Source organism: Homo sapiens, chromosome 7 (assembly GCF_000001405.40).
Source record: "Homo sapiens chromosome 7, GRCh38.p14 Primary Assembly".
In the NCBI taxonomy this organism is placed as follows: Eukaryota; Metazoa; Chordata; class Mammalia; order Primates; family Hominidae; genus Homo; species Homo sapiens.
The window spans coordinates 158,017,687-158,037,920 of NC_000007.14; the positions used below are offsets into that span (position 1 = coordinate 158,017,687).

The 20,234-nt window shown below is 49.4% G+C and overlaps 1 protein-coding gene across 10 annotated transcripts in view, besides 1 other annotated feature; it reads right to left on the reverse strand.

The window, feature by feature from the left end:
* PTPRN2 (protein tyrosine phosphatase receptor type N2) overlaps nucleotides 1-20,234 on the reverse strand; it is a 1,048,768-nt gene that overhangs the window by 478,631 nt on the left and 549,903 nt on the right. The window lies entirely within an intron of this gene.
* Nucleotides 10,791-11,085: an enhancer, noted in NCBI's record as "tiled region #9999; HepG2 Activating DNase matched - State 4:PromP". NCBI's record gives its function as "activates a minimal TATA promoter and a strong SV40 promoter by Sharpr-MPRA in HepG2 cells {active_cell/tissue: HepG2}" and the evidence as "EXISTENCE:reporter gene assay evidence [ECO:0000049][PMID:27701403]".

Genomic DNA, 20,234 nt, shown 5'->3' on the forward strand with positions numbered 1-20,234 from the left:
CACGTGGGGACCCTTGTCAGAGGGGTCTGGGGTGCTACAAAGGAGGAGCACCCAGCCAGGGCTGGGCGGCCAGCAGGGACAGAAGGACGCAGGACTCTGCACGGCTCCACAGCTCACACCTCAGGATTTCACACACGCACAAGGAGCTTCCGAGACAGAAGCCACCTGAGGCTGTGCCCATCGGGGTCCCCTTCTTTTAATTTTGCATTGCAGTCAGCCCCGGGAGTTCCAATGGAAGCCTCTGCTCAGAGATGGTCAGAAGAGCCTCCGAGCCCATCACTGTGGGCTGGGGCCTGGATGTGCACTCCCCAGTGTTGTGAACACTCTCGGATTCCATGTGTCCCTGCACCTCACAGTTTCTGGGGCCAAGCGAGTAGTGGGTTTGAAAGTTCCCAGAGATTCTGAGCCAAGATGGGGTATGTGTTGCGGACTTCTAAATGGCTAGGGAAGGGAATTTAAAAGGACCAGCCTGATTCCTCTTCAAGGAACGTGTGGAGCTGGAGCTAGGCCACATGCGCTGCTGAAGTGGTGGGTAACTGGAACAGTCTGTGTGCTTGTTCACAGGCGCCGCTGGCCATACAAATTAGCACAACAGGACAGGACGCTGTCTGCAGAAGGAAAAGGCTCTTGCCTGTATGATGTTTCTAACACACGGCTAAGGTGGCCAGAGAAGACAGGCGTAGCGTGCATGCTCTGATGGAATTTATAACCGGGAGCATATAAATCCCTGTTTGTGACGTAGAAAACCGTGAAGCTGGATCTGCCTGGAAATGCTAACTTCTGGGAGCTTCACATTTTTAGCCTATACTAGTGACGTGCACTTAACTTTGAAATTTGTTTCAGAAAATGAGGCCTCTACAAGGAAAATCATCTCGGCTTGAAATGGATCTCTTGTCCCACAGTGGCTGCCTCGGTGTACTGTTACCGTATGTGGTAGAGACGGTTCCTAACCAAACGTTCAGTTTGTTTCTCTTTAAGAATATAAGAAAGTAGGCCAGGCACAGTGGCTCACTCCTGTAATCCCAGCACTTTGGGAGGCTGAGGCGGGAGGATCACCTGAGATCAGGAGTTTGAGACCAGCCTGGCCAACATGGTAAAACCCTGTCTCTACTAAAAATACAAAAATTAGCTGGGCGTCGTGGTAGGTGCCTGTAATCCCAGCTACTTGGGAGGCTGAGGCAGGAGAATCATTTGAACCCAGGGGCAGAGGTTGCAGTGAGCCGAGATCATGCGACTGCACTCCAGCCTGGCAGACAAGAGGGAGACTTTGTTTCAAAAACAAAAAAAAAAAAAAAAAAAAAAAAAGAGAATATAAGAAAGTATAAACAGAGTGAAATTAATTCATTAACATTAGGAAGTAGAAACTCACTCTAACGTGACCCACGCTAGCATGAGATACCGTGTAACTGTACTGGGTCTGGATCCCCCACGGAAGCACTTGCAGCCGGACCACCGAAGGGCTCACGCAGGCCCATCCTCCCACCACGGGCTCCCAGCACTGGCAAAATGCCACTCAGACCACAGCTGCAGGGGCCTCCCCGATCCTGGGGCTGTTTCTGTAATAGAGTGTGTTTTGTCACCAAATGATATTTATTTTGTTTCAAGCATTATTTCCAATGAACAAATATATGCTAAATCAATCGGCATGTAATTAAATAGCACATGGATAGGACATGCGATAGAAGGAGGGGGCAGAGGCCGTGGTGTTTCTGACGCCGCCTCTCTTTAAGGGTGGCTACAAGGACGTGAGCTGGAGTGACCGTGTCAGACAGCGCGGTAGAGGCCAGGGATGGGGCTGCACAGGATGCCCACAAGGCCTCGTGATTAACTGTTTTTTATTTGTGCAATTACTTCTTTTCCTTCCTTAGTATCTTTCTTCTAAAAAATTCAAAGAATGAAAGAGGGCGCTTAAATTATTTTAAATCAGCAGGATTTTTTGAGGTCCCATCATAGACAAGACCTATATTGAGCAAACCAGGCTGTAGAGTTAGTGTTCAGTGGAAGATGGTGAGCGGGCTGTGTCCCCTCCAAGTCCCACCTGGTCTCAGGGACCCCACATCTGCAGGCCTGGCTGTGCCTGGCAATGCCGGGGGAGCCGCGCAGCATGAAACGGACCCTGTGCTCGGTCTTGAGGCCACAGCTCGGCCTTGGTGTGGCTGGGGCCGCACAGACACAGCACAGCGGCCCCCGGCATCCGCAGGACACGGTTTTCCACTGTTTTACCAGTCCCTCAGCTTCGCCAGACATCCCTGGATCCCAGACCCTGCTCCTCAGGTCCAGCCATTGGCCGCGGTCCTGCTCCAAACCACACCGGCCATCCAGGACCCAGATTCAATGCCCAGCCCTGAGGCTTCTGCACTGCAGCTCATCCTCTTGGTGAGAGCCCAAGCTGGGGCCCTGTGTCCTTGTTGAGCATGGTTTGAACTCAGGAGCATCTGTGTGATGGCCAGAGCCCAGGTGGGGTGACCCCAGCCCCAGTGCTGCCCGTTATTGCTGCCACTGTCATTATCACTGTGGCTCTGTGAGTTACACCTGTGCTTCTCAGCTACTGCAACTTACCTCCTTCAGCCAACACTACACATACATGAGCTCCAGGGAGGGTGGCCTTGTGCAGCCATCTGGGTAGAGACGCAGAAAGACTTCTTACAGTGAGTGGGCTTTGCCTGAACTGAGCTCTCAGAGATGAGGGGGTGAGGGGGTGTCCCAGGAACAGGTGATGCCTGGGCAGAGGCCACCTGCAGCTCTGGGTTGCGGGGAACGTGAGGGACAAGAGGAGAGGGAGGGGCGAGGGCACAGAAGTGGGGTTTGGCCTGCATCCTACGTCCCGAGGTCACTGTGGGCTTGATAGTGGGTGCGGAGAGGAGAGGCCGGCCCGGGGTCATGGTGAAGCCGTCAGGACAGAAGCAGTCAGGGGCTGGGGCAGCCTTGCCCACCATGTTGGGGGTAAAATGCACCATGTGCTCCTCCTCTGACGTGGCTGTCTCAGCTCCCAAAGCCCACCAGCCAACACCCAATGATTATGGTAGAAACTGATACAGAAACGGAATAGGTAAGAAAGACAAAAGTAGGGATCCTGTGTCAAGTCTAAGGGAGTGCACAGGAGTTGTGTTTTGCTGAATAAAAAGGGAAGAAGCCTGAGCCACTGGGATCACTGCAATAACCTTCTTCTTCCAAGGCCCTGGTCCTGCCGGAAGTGTGGATGCCGTCCTCACTCAGGCTCCCCCGACAGCCGGAGCCCCCTCTATAGAGGAGGCTGTTCCTAGACGGACATCGGGTCAGACGGTTTTTGCTTAAGGTAATTAAATTCCCTCTACCACCCTAAAAATAATTCCCTCTCCTTGAGATTTCTATACTTAAAATTCTTAAAGGCATTTATTGCCCTGCCTTAGTTGCTGCTTTACCAAGACAAACACACTTAGTTCCTTTCCACTTTTCTCACAAACAAATCCTTCAGTCTCTTAATCATTTATGTTGCTTTTCTCTGAATTTCCTCCAATTTGTTGACATCCTCTGGTTTCTAAGGTTCTAATGCCTATATTTGCTTTGTTAGAACACAGCAGGTATTAGGAAAGAATTGGATGCTATTCAAGCCACAGTAATTATAAGGGAAAACAAGTTCAAAAGCCTTGAGTGAAAGCAGCAGGTAAGAGGGAGGAAACATGGAAGATAATGACCAATGCATATAATGCTTTTCTAATTCAGGACAAGACCATGAGAAACTTCATCAGTGATGCCGGCAAAAACCAAATACCTAAATAGATACATAAATGTGTGTGTATGCACCCACGCACACGCACACACACAGAGGATATCATTTTAAAAAGAAGGGAATATATCGGTAATTAGCACAGAATATAAATCTCCCCCCGAGAGATGGGTGCAGAAGGACAGCACTGTGAGGACACAGCCAGAAGGCGCTGCCCACCAGCCAAGGATAGAGGCCTCTGGAAGAGCCAGCCCTGCCCACATCCTGATCTCTGATGTCCAGCCTGCCAACCAAGGAGAGGGGCCTCGGGAGGAGCAGCCCTGCCCCACCTCGATCTCTGATGTCCAGCCTCCATAGTGGGGAGAGGATGAACTCCTGTTGCTGAAGCTGCCCAGGCTGTAGCATTTTAGTCCACCAGAAAAGACCACTACATCGGCCAACCCTAGTTTCAATAAAACTTTATTTACTAAAACAGGTGGGGCTGTCCATGGGTTAGAATCTACCCACCTCTGTCCTAGTAAGTATTAAAATAAAAAATGAGGTGACCTCACAAGGTCCCTGTGGAGAGGCAGAGAAATGGCTGCTGCTACTGCCCTGGCTGAGCCGGGCAGCCTCGCCCATCCACCATGAGGCGAGACCCCACACTCCAGCTGGCCTCCTCCCTGAAGGGCCAGATGGGTGACAGGTCCCCAGAAGCTTCGGTCTTGGGCTTGTCCTGGTAGGAAAGGTTTTCCCAGCCAAGTGCATCCTCTGCTTGTCAGCAGCTTCCACAGACATGGTGAGAGGAGACATTCAAGGATGAATTTAAATTGTGAAACTCAAGGGGCATCACCTGAGTGCTTTTACTTTCCCCATTGCTGACCCTACAGCATGATGACTCCGTTTCCTACACGGTTCCGAGCGTTTTCCATCCTTCCTGACGGCCTCCACCACGAGACTTCAGGTCATCCTTTAATGAGGGCCCAAGGAAGCACCCCCACTCTCCAGTTCCATGATTTCCCACGGTGATTACTGAGGGAAGACCAGCGCAGCCCATGATGTGTTCACAGCCAAGGCCCCGGCACCTGGGCACTCTGGGGCAGCCCGTAATGTGTTCATAGCCAAGGCCCCGGCACCCGGGCACTCTGTCTGGGGCAGCCCGTAATGTGTTCATAGCCAAGGCCCCGGCACCCGGGCACTCTGTCTGGGGCAGCCCGTAATGTGTTCATAGCCAAGGCCCCGGCACCCGGGCACTCTGTCTGGGGCAGCCTGTAATGTGTTCATAGCCAAGGCCCAGGCACCTGGGCACTCTGTCTGGGGCAGCCTCTGGCTTTTAATGATGCAGCAAAGCATCAGGCTGCCCACGCCAGAAGGCTTTCCCCCACGGAGGCTTCCGCCATGAGTCTGGAATGCGTTCTGAGCACCCCTGGAGCAGGGCACTGTTGGGTTACTTGAAAAATAGGAAGAAAAAGAAGACAATATCCCTGGACCTTAGAAACCTCAATGATCAAGAGTAGCGTTTCCCTCCACGGTTGCCCAATTTCACCTTGTTCTGCAGGGGATGGCAAGAGCAGGGTCGCCCTGGTGAGTCTGAACTCTGTGCACTCCTGTTTAGTCCTCAATGGGAAATGGGAAAGGGCTTTGTTTTCAGTGTGCATTTATCCCTGATAAACAAAAATCACGGCACAAAGCAGAACGGTGGCTGTTTTCTTGTGACTCATTATTAACAAGTTTTAAACTCATTCATCTTGGAAAACTCTCAACAATTTAGCACAGAAAACCACTTTAATGAATTCACCTAAGCCCATGTCGACAAGGAGTAGCCAGAAGCCAATCCTGGTTTATTTCTCCAACATCTCGCTAAAGGAGGAGCTCACCACGTAAGCGCTCCCAGGCCTGTGTCCTGGGAAACACTGACAGACAGCTCTCTCAGACCCCAGGTGAGTCTCTGCTCTCTCAGTCCCCAGGTGAGGCTCTGCTCCCATGGCTGCACTCCGTGGCCAGTGCTGCTCCCAATATCTGAAGACATCTTGGCCTCTACTGTGGCTGTGTGTATTTTTCTTTGCGGTAATTAACACTCTAAAAAAAATTTCTCTAATCTATATTTTGAAATAACTCAAGCAGAAGTTTTCAAACACGCACATTCTGCAGCACTGTCCCATCCACTGCAAAGGAGAAGAGCCGAGGAGCGAGTTCCTTGTTCTGCTCCCTTCTTGCGGTGTCCCCCACTGCCTGGACTACAGTATTTCCTGAAACTAAGGAAGACAGTTGCGTAGAGACCCTGAGCTTGCATTCAGCAGACACACACATTCTTAACCTATCTTGAAATGAGTAAACAAATCTTCATGCCCAGTTTGTCATCTCCTCCTTACCCTTGCCCTCATCAAGCCACTCAGTCATGTCAGTCCCTCCTGAGTCATGCACATGCATGCAGGCACACACAAGCAGGCACACACATGCAGGCACACACACGTGCAGGCAAACACATAGGGCCTGGCACAGACATGCAGGCACACACACGCAGGTAAACACACAGGGCCTGGCACACACTCGCAGGCACACACATGCAGACACACATGCCGGCACACACACAGGGCCTGGCACATGGGTTCTATATTTGGTAGATACCACCATTACCTCCAAACAGAGCTGCTAACCACTGGTATCTATCAGCAGTTTCAATTCCTCTTGATGTGTGAGGGTCATTTTGTCTTCTATGACAATGCCAAACACACCCCAGCAAAGCTCTGGGGTAGTGTGAACATGCCCAGTGCACCCCAACAAAGCTCCGGGATGTTGTGAACATGCCCAGTGCATCCCAGCAAAGCTCTAGAGCGGTGAGGTTCCGAGTCCTCACTGCTATTCAGCACTTGCACATCAGAAACCCAGGCATCTGGATGGCCAGTGCTGACTTAATTGACTGGTCAGTCTCAGCAAACCTACAGTCAGTTCCTTCCAAGAAGCAAATCAATCAGAAGAACACAGGTTCCCTGAGCTGTCCACTCAGCTGAAATAATCGCTCTGCAGCCCTCCGTAACTTCAAGATCTCTAGTGAAACACACACATTTAGATTTTTAAGAGGAAAAAAATGCCAAAATGATTGCCAAGACATGCACTGGGCATTCCCTGGGCACACAGGGCACCCGTGCAGCTGTGATTCTAGGGACACTCGCTGCCCACGTCCTCCACAAGGTCATAGGCATTGTAAGCCAGGAGTGCATCCTAGGCCCTCCAAGAAGACGACCACCAGGATGTGGCTCCTGACCCCATGGGGCTGATCTGTGGGGCAGAAACTAAGACACCTTGTGACAAACAAGCAATGGAAGAGAAAACTGCTTTAGGAGCAGGAAGGGGGCCAAGGCCAGCTTGGCAGGAGCTGATGAAGGCTTTCCAGGGAGGATAAGGCATGAGCAACTTCAGTTGTGCTCTCAACATTGACCTCAATTCCTTTCCACTGCCTCTTTCTGCTACTGCACTTAGAAAAATGTCATACACACAGGAAGTTTTCAATAAGCAACAAAATTTACCTAAAAAAGAAAAAGGAAAACAGAAACGAAAAGATTGAGTGGGGTTTGGGGCCTGCAGAGTCCTTGTCTGCTTGATTGTGGGCAGTGGGTGGTTTGTGAATGTCAGAATAAGCTTTTCTTCTCAGATGGGTAAGCGGGCAGCTGGGCTTTGCAGTGACAGGTGCCCCGAGGAAAGCAGGCAAACATGCACTGGACAAAGACACATGCAGCCCTATTCTAAGAAGGACTTGACCTTTGAGTCTGAAAAACACCCTGCACTTTAGGAGCTCAGAAGAGAAAGGCATCATTTCAGAGTGGGAGAGCCGCGCCTCCTTGTCAGTGTGATGGTTGGTAACTAGATTGGCAGGTAAAGCCACAATGCAGTTGATGTACCCTCATCTGCTCTATTATTAAACATCCAAAATACATTGTTAATATTTTAAAAAGCAGACAAAGGCCCCCATGGTATGATACAACTGGATGGGTGTTTGTTCTCGGCCATGCTGAGAGATACTGACATCCCCAAGTCTCTCCTGGCACCCCCAGCACGGCCGCCTTCCCCAGAAAACAATGTCAGATTTTAGAGGCTGAATTGTGTGGCCAACTTGGTTTACTTCTTTAATAGCCCTGTGGGAACACAACTGCTTATATGTGACAAGGCCTAACTCCACACAGAACAAACACGAGTATCAAATAACCTCACTTAAGCTAAAGAAACACACACATATGTGACCACCTTGGGGGATGATGGCTGGTGTATTTGTATTTCCCTGCTCAGCTTATCAGTTGGATATCGGCAAGTAAGATTTAGAAGCAGAAACATAAAATATTGAACAAAAACTAAAACACTTATAAAAAGGATTCGCTGTGTGGTGTGAAGCTTTGTGCAGTAATTGACACAAGATCAGAAAGCAAACCCTAAGAAAAGCGGCACCCACACTCCCAGCGCCAGGCCAGGGATTAACGAGCCCGGCAGACAATTCCAATCCGGAGTGGGATTTGCTCTTCCGTTTACGTTCTATTGTCCGGGTCTTATTTTTGCTTTCAATTCCTTTTGTAATGGAGGTAGCAGTTGTTATTGACAATTAATAGGGGCTTCAAAGGCAGTCATGTTTGGAAGGGGCAGCGGCTTCCCTAAGACCCCTCAGCTGCTGCTCAGGTGCAGCTGCTCTGTATGCCAAGCACGGCCCATGCCGGGCCCCGTCGAGGCAGCACAGATATCGATTTAGATGGAAACCGGGGTCGGCGCGGAGGGAAGGAGCTCGGTGAGCTTCGCATGCTAATGTATTATTTAGGCTTTGTGGTTTCATCCGGAGTAAGTGCCTATTTAGGAAAAATTACAGAATCAGTATCTCTGCTACTGATATATTTTCCCTAACAGTAATTCACAGGTAAAATACCAGGGATGATGGAAGGTATTTGTGCAAAGATTCAGGAGGAGATGGTCTGATCTGGTGGGCTGGGCTCGCTGGGGGGGACCATAATAACGCAAAGCAAACAACATCCATGTGGGAAGGTCCACTGGCCGAGGACGGGCACCAAGGCTGCCCTCAGATGCCAGCCGGACAGCATGGCGTGGATTTTGGCGAAGCTGAGTGATGCATGCTATATGCATCCTTATTGATCGAAATTATTCTTTTTACTCAAATATTTACAATGTAAGATAATTCCTTGTGTTCATAGTTCTTACATAATCATACACTAAAACAACTTTTACCAATTAAAGACAAAACCGAGACCCTCTTCCACGTGAGATGGTACAGGAGGGAGCTGCAGTGGGCCTGGCTGTGGGGAGCACCCTGGCCACTGTTTCAAAGCTGCCCCCTGAGCCCCACAGAGGTGCCCTCACCCCACAAAGCACTTCCACTCAGACGTACAGGACACCGGGAGGAAGGCAGAGTGCCCTCCACGTATACCGTGACAGGTCAGGTGCAAGGAGGCCCCATCAAGAGGCCTGACCACACGGCCCTGTCCTCTGCAGGGCTGCGTGAACACAGGACACACAGCAGTGATGGTCCAGCAGCCACTCGGCTCTGGGCACTGTGTCAGTTGGCACTGCCCTAGGTATGCTGGTGACAAACGGTTCAAATGACCCCACCATCGTGACACTCGACCCTTTTGGCCCAGGAACTGCCATTCACGGGCACAGCACACCTGCTCCTCCCATACCGAACCTCCATCATCTCCGCTGACCAGGCAGGTCCGGGGTCCTAGAACCAACAGGGCTCACCCACCCCAGCCCCAGGCAGAGCCGGCCCCTGTGGAAAGTGCCCAGCCACAGCCAGGACTTTACCCACATGCCTAGGCCAGGCCCTGGTCATCCTTCCACAGGTACGTGAAAGGTAAATGTAAGTGGCAGGAAGTCAAATGGAACTGAAAGCCACCTCGTCTCCTGGCTTCCACTCAGAAGTGGTGGAGGAAATACTCTCAAATGAAATCATGTGATCCTGTTTAAATAAATGGAAAATTAAAAGGCAGGGCACTGGCTGACCCTTGATGCCAGGAGGGGCAGATGTGGATTGACGTGGCTCTCGGCCCCCATGGGCTGGTATTGGGCCTCCTTGGGAGCAGCCTGAGAGTGCTCATTCTTGGCCAAATCGTGAGTTCCAGAGGGAAAGAGATGGGACCAAAAACCTTAGGGAGAACCTTGGGGCCAGCTGCAGTGGGAACACATGGGCACCCTCCACAATCCTCTATCCTGACACGATGCTCCTTTTGTGTCTCCACTGTGTTTTTCACTCCCATATTTTCACAGTTGTGATTCAACCTCAATGCTTCTGGAACCCACAAGCCACCCAGCCTCACTTTCTAAAAATATGATTGAGAAAGCAAGACAGAGTTTGGGACGGAGGTTTCTCCAGCGGAGCAGAGCCCTGGCATCCTGTGGAACATATTGTGAGTGTTCACAGCCGAGAAAGTAAGATGACTGGGATGTCATTTTCAAAGAGGAAATGGGCCCCACCCCAACAGGGCCACCGAGGGAGAATCGCAGGAGGCAGCTCCCCCAAAACTGGGAGAAGGTCAGGCCTGGGTTCCCCCATACCGTCATGGTCTTGAGTCAGAAACCAGAGATTTGTAAACAGCATCAAAAGCCTTCACTTCCTTCTGCAGCCTTAAAGTTTGAACTTTACATACATTTTAGACATGAAAAGTACACCAAGAAAGCCACCATGGTGAGTTTTAGGCAGAGACCCTCTTGTGAATAATTCGTCTATGATCCAAGATGGCCAGACAAGAATCAGGGCCCAAGCTTTTTCTCCCCAGTGTCACATCCACGCTGTTGTCTCCTCTCCAGCTCAGACCAAAATTCTCTGGACATTTTCATGGCTGAAAACCCCACCAGAACGCTGGCCCTGACAGGACCCTCTCCTCAAGTCCTGAGGACCCGGCTGCGGCCAGCCAGAATGTAAACTACAGCTCGCAGAAGCAGCAGGCATGGAGGAAGAGGCAGGAGAGCAAGAGCAGAAGCTCGAAACCTTCAAAGGGAGCCTGAAGAACAAGGCCAGGAGAAGCAGCGGCCAGGCCCCACCGGTTTCCTCCTTTCCCTCCTGAATCTAGGACAGAGGCCATTTCAGACGAGAGAGGAAAGAACAACAAAATGAACTGCAGGAGAAGCAGCCAGAGCCTGCAAGGCCCAGCCAGAGACGGCAGAGGAGAGAACCGCAAGCCAGGAGCAAGGAGGAGACAGGTGGACTCCACTAACCAACCGACGCAGCCCAGCGGAGACAGGCGGACTCCACTGACCAACCGACGCCACCTGGAGAAAGTAAATATTTAACTGTCAGAAGGAAAACACTGTTTGAACAGTAGTGGCCTTAGGAAGAAGGCCCTAATTTTTTTGAACACTGACCGGGGGCCATTCTTTACCCAGAGCTACTATGTCCCGCGCAAGGCAACACTGGCTGAAGCCCAGGAGGGCGGGGCAGCTGCAGACCCTCAGGAGCCTCTGCTGGCTCAGGGAGCGTGGGGAGAGTCCAGCGTGCACCAGAAGGAGGGAGGCCACCTCTCCTTGCGGCATTAGGAGACCAGGGTCTCTGAAAGGGCGGGGACCACGGCCAGGCCAGAACCACCACATCACCAGGCTGAAGGCTGGTTAACCTGGTGGAATCAGCTGTCTTCATGTTCAAACCAGCACATGGGGCTATTTTGCTCCAGTCACCTGGTGTGACATGAGCCACTGAGACTCGAACACCCCTGCTCTGGAGCAAAGAAGAACCCACACCTCTGTCCTGCCTGGCAGCCTCCCCACCACTCGCCGTGGGCACGGGGTCCGTATCCACTCGCCGGGGGCACGGGGTCCGTATCCACTCGCCGGGGGCACGGGGTCCGTATCCTCTCGCCGGGGGCACGGGGTCCGTATCCTCTCGCCGGGGGCACGGGGTCCGTATCCACTTGCTAGGGCATGGGGTTCATATCCTGTCCTCTGTCTCCTCTAAGTGTCCCTTAAACTTAAGGCCAATCCTATGATTTCCCTCTAAAAGCATTCTTCCGAATTCTACCCCAAAGAAACCAGTGACATTTCTCAACATCAGGCTTCCTAATCTCTGCAGGCCGCCTGAAGAAAAAGAAGAGATATGTGTATGGCCATGCCATTTGGAAATAGAAGAAAAGCCTTTAACCGCCTTCTACCTTCAGCTGTTTTTGCCAAGCAGAGAAGGTCCAGAAAGCACCTTCAAAGGGGCTGGGAGCTCTGGCCCTGCCCATCCACACAGCAAATACAGCAAGCAGAAATAACACGTTCACAGGGGCTGGAGGCTCCTGTCCTGCCCATCCACACAGCAAACACAGTAACCAGAAATAACACGTTCACAGGGGCTGGGAGCTCCGGCCCTGCCCATCCACATGGCAAACACAGCAACCAGAAATAACACGTTCACAGGGGCTGGAGGCTCCTGTCCTGCCCATCCACACAGCAAACACAGCAACCAGAAATAACATGTTCACAGGGGCTGGAGGCTCCTGTCCTGCCCATCCACACAGCAAACATAGCAACCAGAAATAACACGTTCACAGGCTTCTCCTCCCCACTCCCAACTCAGCTGCAAAACAGCTGATAAAATGAGGATGGGCTCTATGTAAGTAAACAGTACTCGATCTACCAGTTTACGACATCATCAAAGACATGTAGAGAGAAAATACATACACAGGTAATAATAACAATGATAATTCTAATACTATTTTGTTAGATTAGAAGCATTTTTCCTGGACAGAAGCAACATCACCTGGGGTCCCAGTGGAAAGCACGGGCCAGGCGTGCTCCCTGTGACCAGGTCAGAGTGCAGAGCCCGCCTGGTGACCTCATTTCCTTAGGGCAATTGTACCTTCTGTCTGGAGCCAGGTCCCTCTTAAAGGTAGAAGACTGCAGAAAATAATTCACCAGAAGCAGGCATGGTGCATCCCCAGGACGGATCCTTCACCGCACCCGAGAACCCGCAGGATGAGGCAGCTCTGCGCAAGCACCTGACCCCCTGCAGAGCTGAGATGGCTGCTCGGGGACTATGTCCCCCAGCAAAGCACAGAGCTGAGCCAGCTGCTTGGGGACTATGTCCCCCAGGAAAGCACGTCTGAGTCTTGGCTCCAGCTCCTGTGTATGGGATGTGATTTGGAAATGGTCTCCGAAGAGGGAAGCCAGTTAAAGATGAGGCCATCAGAGTGGCTCCTAATCCAGGGACTGGTGTCCCTAAGAAGGAGACACTGGACAGAGACAGAAGTGCCCAGTGGGAAGGCGAGGCCAGAATTCCCGAGAACACCTGGTGACCCAGCAGAGGTGGGAGGGAGGCCCCTGTAAGCCGAGGAATGGCAGGGGTGTCAGGGCCACCAGAGGCTGGAGGAGGCAGGAAGGACCCTCTCTGGAGCCTTCAGAGATGCACGGCCCCGCTAAGACCTTGATCTCAGACCCTGGGGGGTGCAGGGCCTGGAGAGCTTTGCACTGTTCTAAGCCTGCCAGTGTGCGGGGCTCCGTTGCCAAAGCCTTGGGCACTGCACGCGCCATCTCAGACCCTCTGGCCCCACACAGCCAGAGCTCAGCGATGAGCCAGGCCCACAGCTCTTCCTCAGGGCCCTCGTTTTCTCTCTCTGCAAGCCTTCTCCTTTCTAAACTGTTGTTGCTAAGTCAGAAAGAGAAGAGAAGGCATCACGTTGAATAATATCCTCGAGTGATAAATCTGCAGTATCTGCTGAAGGTCCACAGATAATGTGTTTAATTTGACAAACCAGGGACAAGAATGATGAATAAAACACTACTTGCTGATAAACTGGACCACTGTGGCCTTTAATATTTTCCCAGTCTTCCTGGGTTTTCTAAAATGTAAAAACAGAGCTGAATGTCTGTTCTGGAAGACTGTGTGATCTGACAGACGACCTCGATCTCACCGTGATGGAGACATCAATGGTGAGGTCATGACTTTTGCACCTTCCTGAATTTTTTCCTGCATCCCTGTACTCACTCATTTCCAGTATCTGACATTTGGGGTCTATTTGGTTTTGAAGGAAAGACAGGTCTCACCAGAGGGTGGAGCAACAAATAATAAAGCCACAGAAATGCTCTTAATTGTCATAAAATATTCATTTATAACCAATATGTTTGTGCCAAATTCCGTCACTCTGTGAGAATACAGTGTACCCAAGTGAGAGATTTAGAAAGCCCTTTAAGCTGCTTTTTACTTGTTAAATGAAAAAATATAATCATTAGGCATATTCAGGAATTGGGAAATTAATGCTTATTAGACTTCAGGAAAAAAAGAAAAAGATAAATGGAGGGCAAGCAGAGGATATTCTCCAGGAAGACAGCCTCAGCCACACTTTCCAGAAGGCATCGTAATCTTCAGTGGATGTTATACTCATTTATATTTTAAAAAAAGAAGAAAGGTTAAGAGCTGGTAAATAAAGTGACAGATAAAGTCAGAAAAACAATTTAAATCATCGAGTAAAAAAGGTGGGCGGAAGTCAGACGCGGGGGCTGTTTACAGCAGCCTCAGGAAGATGCATTAATTACAGTCGCTGCAAAACTACAAAGACGGTGCTGCTCTGCAGCCGGCGCTCCGGGGGCCCGCGAGCCTCTGAAGTCTCTGGGTCTCCTTTGTTTCTTCTTCATGGTGCAGAAGGACATGGTGAGCAGCCCAGCTCTCACTTTCAAGGGACCTTTGGCTGTTTTCTCCAGCACTGCTGAGAAAGAAGAGCAGCCATTCTGGGGGCTGCTCAGGCCCCGGCATTCCAGCTGCTGTGTGGAGTCTTCGGCTTCCCTTTCGGAAACCTGCCCCCACGCCTGGCCCTGGCTAAGCAAAAAGCCAAATGGCATTGCACTCACATCCAATTAACTTCCCATTTTCAGCAATTATTGCTTCGCCGGGAGCAGCAAGATGCCCTCTGTGGGGAAGCAAGGGCCCAGGAAGGGGTGGCTGATGCTCTGATGAAGGCCCCTCCTCTGACCTCTAGGCCACATTAGAGACAGCACAGCCCCTGGCCCTCTCCTGCCCCTCCTTCCCCGGCTTTGAAAGCAGAGGTGCTGCATTTGGGGCAAGTTCTGGTCAGTTCTCATGGTGGAGGAGAATTAAAGTTCAGAGGAGGGCAAAGGCAAACAAAATGACAGGAGGAAGGCCGGATGCAGTGAGTGGCTCCTCCGCCTGAGAGACAGATGCCAAGAGACCCAAGGCAGGTGAAAAAGCGCCTCTGATGCACAGAGACGTTCCGTATGCAATAGACTCGGGCTGGACACCGAGAATCTCAACTGGGTCAATTCAGAGCAAAGGACGCATTGTGCAGTGAGCAGTGAATTCATACAACGCTAAATGCAGAGATTCTAAAATGGCTTAGACCTAAAATCACAGAGCACCAGGCATTTGGCTCCACTGACCACTCAGAGGGACACATGCAGGGCAGATGGGGCTTAATGACATGAGCAGAGTAAACCCAGGACCACAACGGCCCCACGTCCAGCACCGTGTGGAGGACGGTACATCTTCCATGCCTCCAGGTTTTCAGGAGAGGAGCTCTGCTGCACCACGCTGGGAGAGATGAATAGGCTAAGCTTATTGTCAAAAGGCATTACTGCAGAGGAAGGGAAAGTCTCATTATCAGAAACCTCAATGAGTTGTTTCTTCAGATGTGCTTACCCAGTAATTTTTTTTTTCTGTAAGTCGCTCACTGATGCAATCAGCCAACTTCTGTCTCCCAGGTGCTGTGCTCAGAGAAATAAGAATTTGCTCTGGAGTCAGAATGGTTTAGGGCTAGAGGCATGAATCTGAAGGATGTCAGCCTAAGCGGCAGTGGCCACCAAGCCTGACAGAGCCATTGGGGGCCACGAATAAAGCCTTGGTGCCTGGTGGTGGCCACCAAGCCTGATGGAGCCATCAGGGCCACACATGGAGCTGTGGTGATCTTCTTGACTACCTGGGCAGTGGAGGAGGATGTGGGACGAGAGAATGAGGAAGAAACGAGTCGGTGATTAGCTGGAATGATAAGTCGTTTTAGCCATGTTGTGTGATAAGGAGTTTGGCTAGCCTTGGTCCTGTTCCTGGAAGCAGCCTGAGTCCTTGCAGCCTCCTGAGTCACGGGAGTGAGGTCATTTGTGGTGGGCCCCTCGGACCACACCTGATTGTTTATGCAAATGAGGTGACAGGACGGGGGCTGTCCACACCAAAAAGACCAACAATGTGATGGGTGAGTGGGGGCTCTGAGCCGTGGGATATAGTCTGATCTCAGGAGAGGGGAGGGCTGGTGGGTGGGTTAAAGCTTGTGGCCAATGGTTCAATCCCTCACACCAATGTAATGAAACCTTGATAGAAGCTCTGCATGCTGAGGCCCAGGTGAGCATCCCTGGTCAGCAATGCTGTGTGTGGCTGGCTGCACACTGAGACCTCGATAGAAACTCTGCACTCTGAGACCCGGGTGCACATCCCTGGTCAGCAATGCTGTGTGTGTGGCTGACTGCACGCTGAGACCTCGATAGAAACTGCACACTGAGGCCCGGGTGAGCATCCCTAGTCAGCAATGCTCTGTGTGGCTGCACACTGAGACCCCATTAAAAACTCTGCATGCTGAGGCCCAGGTGAGCATCCCTGCCCAGCAATGCTGTGTGTGTGGCTGGCTGCACACTGAGACCTCAATAGAAACTCTGCACTCTGAGACCTGGGCGAGCGTCCCTGGTCAGCAATGCTCTGTGTGGCTGCACACTGAGACCCCATTAAAAACTCTGCATGCTGAGGCCCAGGTGAGCATCCCTGCCCAGCAATGCTCTGCGTGTGGCTGGCTGCACACTGAGACCTCAATAGAAACTCTGCACTCTGAGGCCTGGGTGAGCGTCCCTGGTCAGCAATGCTCTGCGTGTGGCTGGCTGCACACTGAGACCTCAATAGAAACTCTGCATGCTGAGGCCCGGGCAAGCATCCCTGGTCAGCAATGCTCTGTGTGTGGCTGGCTGCACAGTGATGTGGTTTGGCTGTGTCCCCACTCAAATCTCTTCTTGAATTGTAACTGCCACAATTCCCATGTGTCATGGGAAGACCCCAGTGGGAGGTACCTGAATCATGGGGGCAGGTCTTTCCCATGCTGTTCGTGTGATAGTGAATAGGTCTCACAAGATCTGGTGGTTTTATAAGGGGGAGTTTCCCTGCACTTTGCCTGCTGCCATCCATGTAAGACGGGACTTGCTCCTCCTTGCCTTCCACCATGATTGTGAGGCCTCCCCAGCCACATGGAACTGTAAGTCCATTAAACCTCTTTATTTTGTAAACTGCCCAGTCTCAGATATGTCTTTATCAGCAGTGTGAAAAAAAACTAACACAGGCTGGGAGGGGCCCATGCTAGGCCAAGATCTGGAAATCAGGGCAGGTGTGTGAGTGTCTCACCCTGAGTCCAGCACCTCAGTCCCCCAAACACAACAGGGCTGAGTCGAGTTGCATCGTAGCTGAGGCCTGGGCCACTTGGGGTGTAAGAGCTGGGAGCTGCTGACAGGGAGCAGTAGCAGAGGCTTCAGCTGCAAGAGAGTGGCCTGAATTCGGAGAAGCAGACTCTACTTTTGTGGGGTAGGCTTTGTGTGTGCACACAGGAGCCTGCCTGTCAGCCAAAACCCTATTTGCAATGCTTCCCTGCTATCTGCCCTGAGCAAAACATTAGAAAGCTGGGATCAATTTAGTAAATTCTTCCAGGCTCACTCTCCATTTCTTTAAAACTCCAAATCAGAACATGTGGCCTGAGCTTAGGAGGAACAAAATTTGAAATTGTACTGCCCAGAAAACCCAGTGTGGATAGTCAGTGTGTTTACACGCATCGTCACGATAGTGTGTTTACACGCATCAGCATGACAATATATGCACTTTTAAATACTCTCACTTCATAGTCAACAAGTGTCTCAAGTATAAAACTATAAGAAGAGAAGAAAGTCTAGAGATGTCCATTTCGAGCACACATTGTAAAAACAGCACAGACCCTGCTCCCAGTCTAATGCATAAATACTGTAAATAAAAAGGGACAGGCACAAATTTTGAAGCATTAGTAAACGTGAAAGGAAGGAAGGAGAAATCCCAGATGCCAGAACAGAGAAAGCACAGAGCTGGGGCAAAGAGCAGGCAAGGGAGGCAGCTGAGTGTGGCAGTGGCAGGCAGGGGGGTCTGTTAGGGCCCAGCAGGCTGGGGTTGGGGTCTGCCCACAGGAGGGCAGGGGGCAGGTGCTGGCAGCGCACCCCCAAGGACTGTGCATACCTGCCCTGCACAAAAGGAATGCCAACAACCCGTCCACAGGCAGGCGGGCAGAAGAGCCTCTCTTTCTCAGGCTCTGGATGAAAACACAAATGCCTCTCATTAGAAATAGAAGCCTGAACCTGTATCCCACATGAGTGTCAAATCCTAATATAATAAAATACTCATATATCTAACATAACACATTGATTTGAATTGCTAATTATAAAATGTTGGAGGAACCTTTCCAACAATGAGAGTTCTTGGGACTTCCACAGGATTCTCATAAGAAAAGAAAGACATCAAAGACAAGCATGTAATAAAAAATTATAAACCACGTAGAAAACAATCTGTAATGAGAAAGTGTGAGCAAAATTTAAAAGAAAACGCAAACTAGAGAATTAACCCCATCTGACCTGGAGATAAAATGATAGCCTGAGACTTACTGGCAGAAATTAACAAACCAGAAAGCAGCAGAGAGCACAGACATGAGCAGAGTTGACTGTTTAAAAATATGAAGGAAATACAAAGATGTCTGTCAAAATTATCCAGAAAGGAAAGATGCAAAATAAATAACACTAGAAATGAATTAGGGGCATAACAATAACATATACGGAGATATGCAAAACCACAAGAAACTGCAACGCACAACAGAAACGTAATTGGAAGACATAAGTGAAATGAATCATTTTTAGGAAAAAAAACAAAAACACAAAATGCCAGAATTGAATTGAAAGGAATGGTATCTGACTATACTTGTAACCATTAGTTAAATCAGTATTCAAAAACCAACTCTCATAAACAGCACTAAAGCCAGGTGACTTAAACACTGTTACTAAAGCTTCAAGCAACATCTGTTTCCTCCTATGCGGATTTTAGATTTTTCAGTCTAGGACACAATTTACTTTATGAGATGAGTATTACTTCGATACTAGCACTGAAAAACAGTAACACAATGAAAATAAGGGAATTCCATTTCTCAAAAAATAATAGCAACCAAATATAACAGAGGGAAATCAGTAAAACAAAAAGTGACCAAAAAGGTATATCCCAAAAATGCAAAACTGGTTCTACTCCATGTAATTCACTTTACTAAGAGATTAAAGGGAGAAAAAGTCCAGTAATATCTTAGAGATTCAAGAATAAGATTTGGTCCATTCAAAATTTTTTAAATTTTAAGAAACTAGGAATAAAGCATCCTTAACCCAATAAAAGTTATCTAATAAAATCCTTCAGAAATAATCATCCTTTAACAAGGTAAAATGTCAAAGACATTTTCTTAATGCTTGGGATAGATAATGAAGCCTTCCTTGACCCCTTTGATTCAACACTATTTGGAACACCCTAGATACTCAATGCAATGACAAATGTTAAGATATACAGCATTAGAAAGGAAGAAAGCTGCAGATGACATATTTGTTTACATGGACAATCTAAGAGAACTGCCAATCAAGCAATTATAACAAATATAAGATTCCTTCAAAGATACAGGTCACAAGGTCAAAATACAAACCAATGTGCCTATATGCCAGCAACAACCAATTATATAATATCTTGAAATAGTTAGAAGTTAATTTAAAAATAATCCTGATCATGTTAAGCTACTTCAAAAAATTTTAATAAAATATTTTAAGAACTTTACATTTAAAAATACTAAAAGTTCATTGAATGGCAAAGGAATATCTCACTCAGCGAAGACACATGCCATGTAAGTACAGAAGTGGATGGGAAGACCAAATGTCGTAAATACACTCTCAGGTCTCCTAACCATGGGGACATGTTCTGAGACATACATCGTTAGCTGATGTTGTGCCAACATCACAGAGTGCACTTACACACACCCAGCTGGCACAGCCCACTGCACACCCACAACCTGCACGGCATATCACTGTACTGAGTGCTGTAGGCAATTGTAACCAATGGTATGTATTTGCGTATCTAACCTGCACAGCTTACTGTTACTGTTCCGAGTACTGTAGGCAACGCTAACACAATGGTATGTATTTGTGTCTGAACACATCTAATAAAAAAGGTATAGTTAAAGTATGTGATTATAATCTTAGGAGACCACCCTCATGTATGCAGTCAGTAGTTGACTGAAACGCTGTTATGTGGCAATGACTGTACTTTTGTACAGTTTTGTCCAAACTAAACTATACATTAAATCGAAATTCAACAAAAAACCCAATCAGTCTTTTTTCATAAATTTGACAAGCTCATCTGAAAAATGATTTTAGAATAAGGGACATGTAGATAATTTGGGGAAAGAATGGGGGAGGGTTGCAATTCACCTTGTCAGAAAGATTTCACATTGTCAGAACGATTGAGACACCAAGTGTCTACTCTGTACCACAGCAGGTGAGTATCACA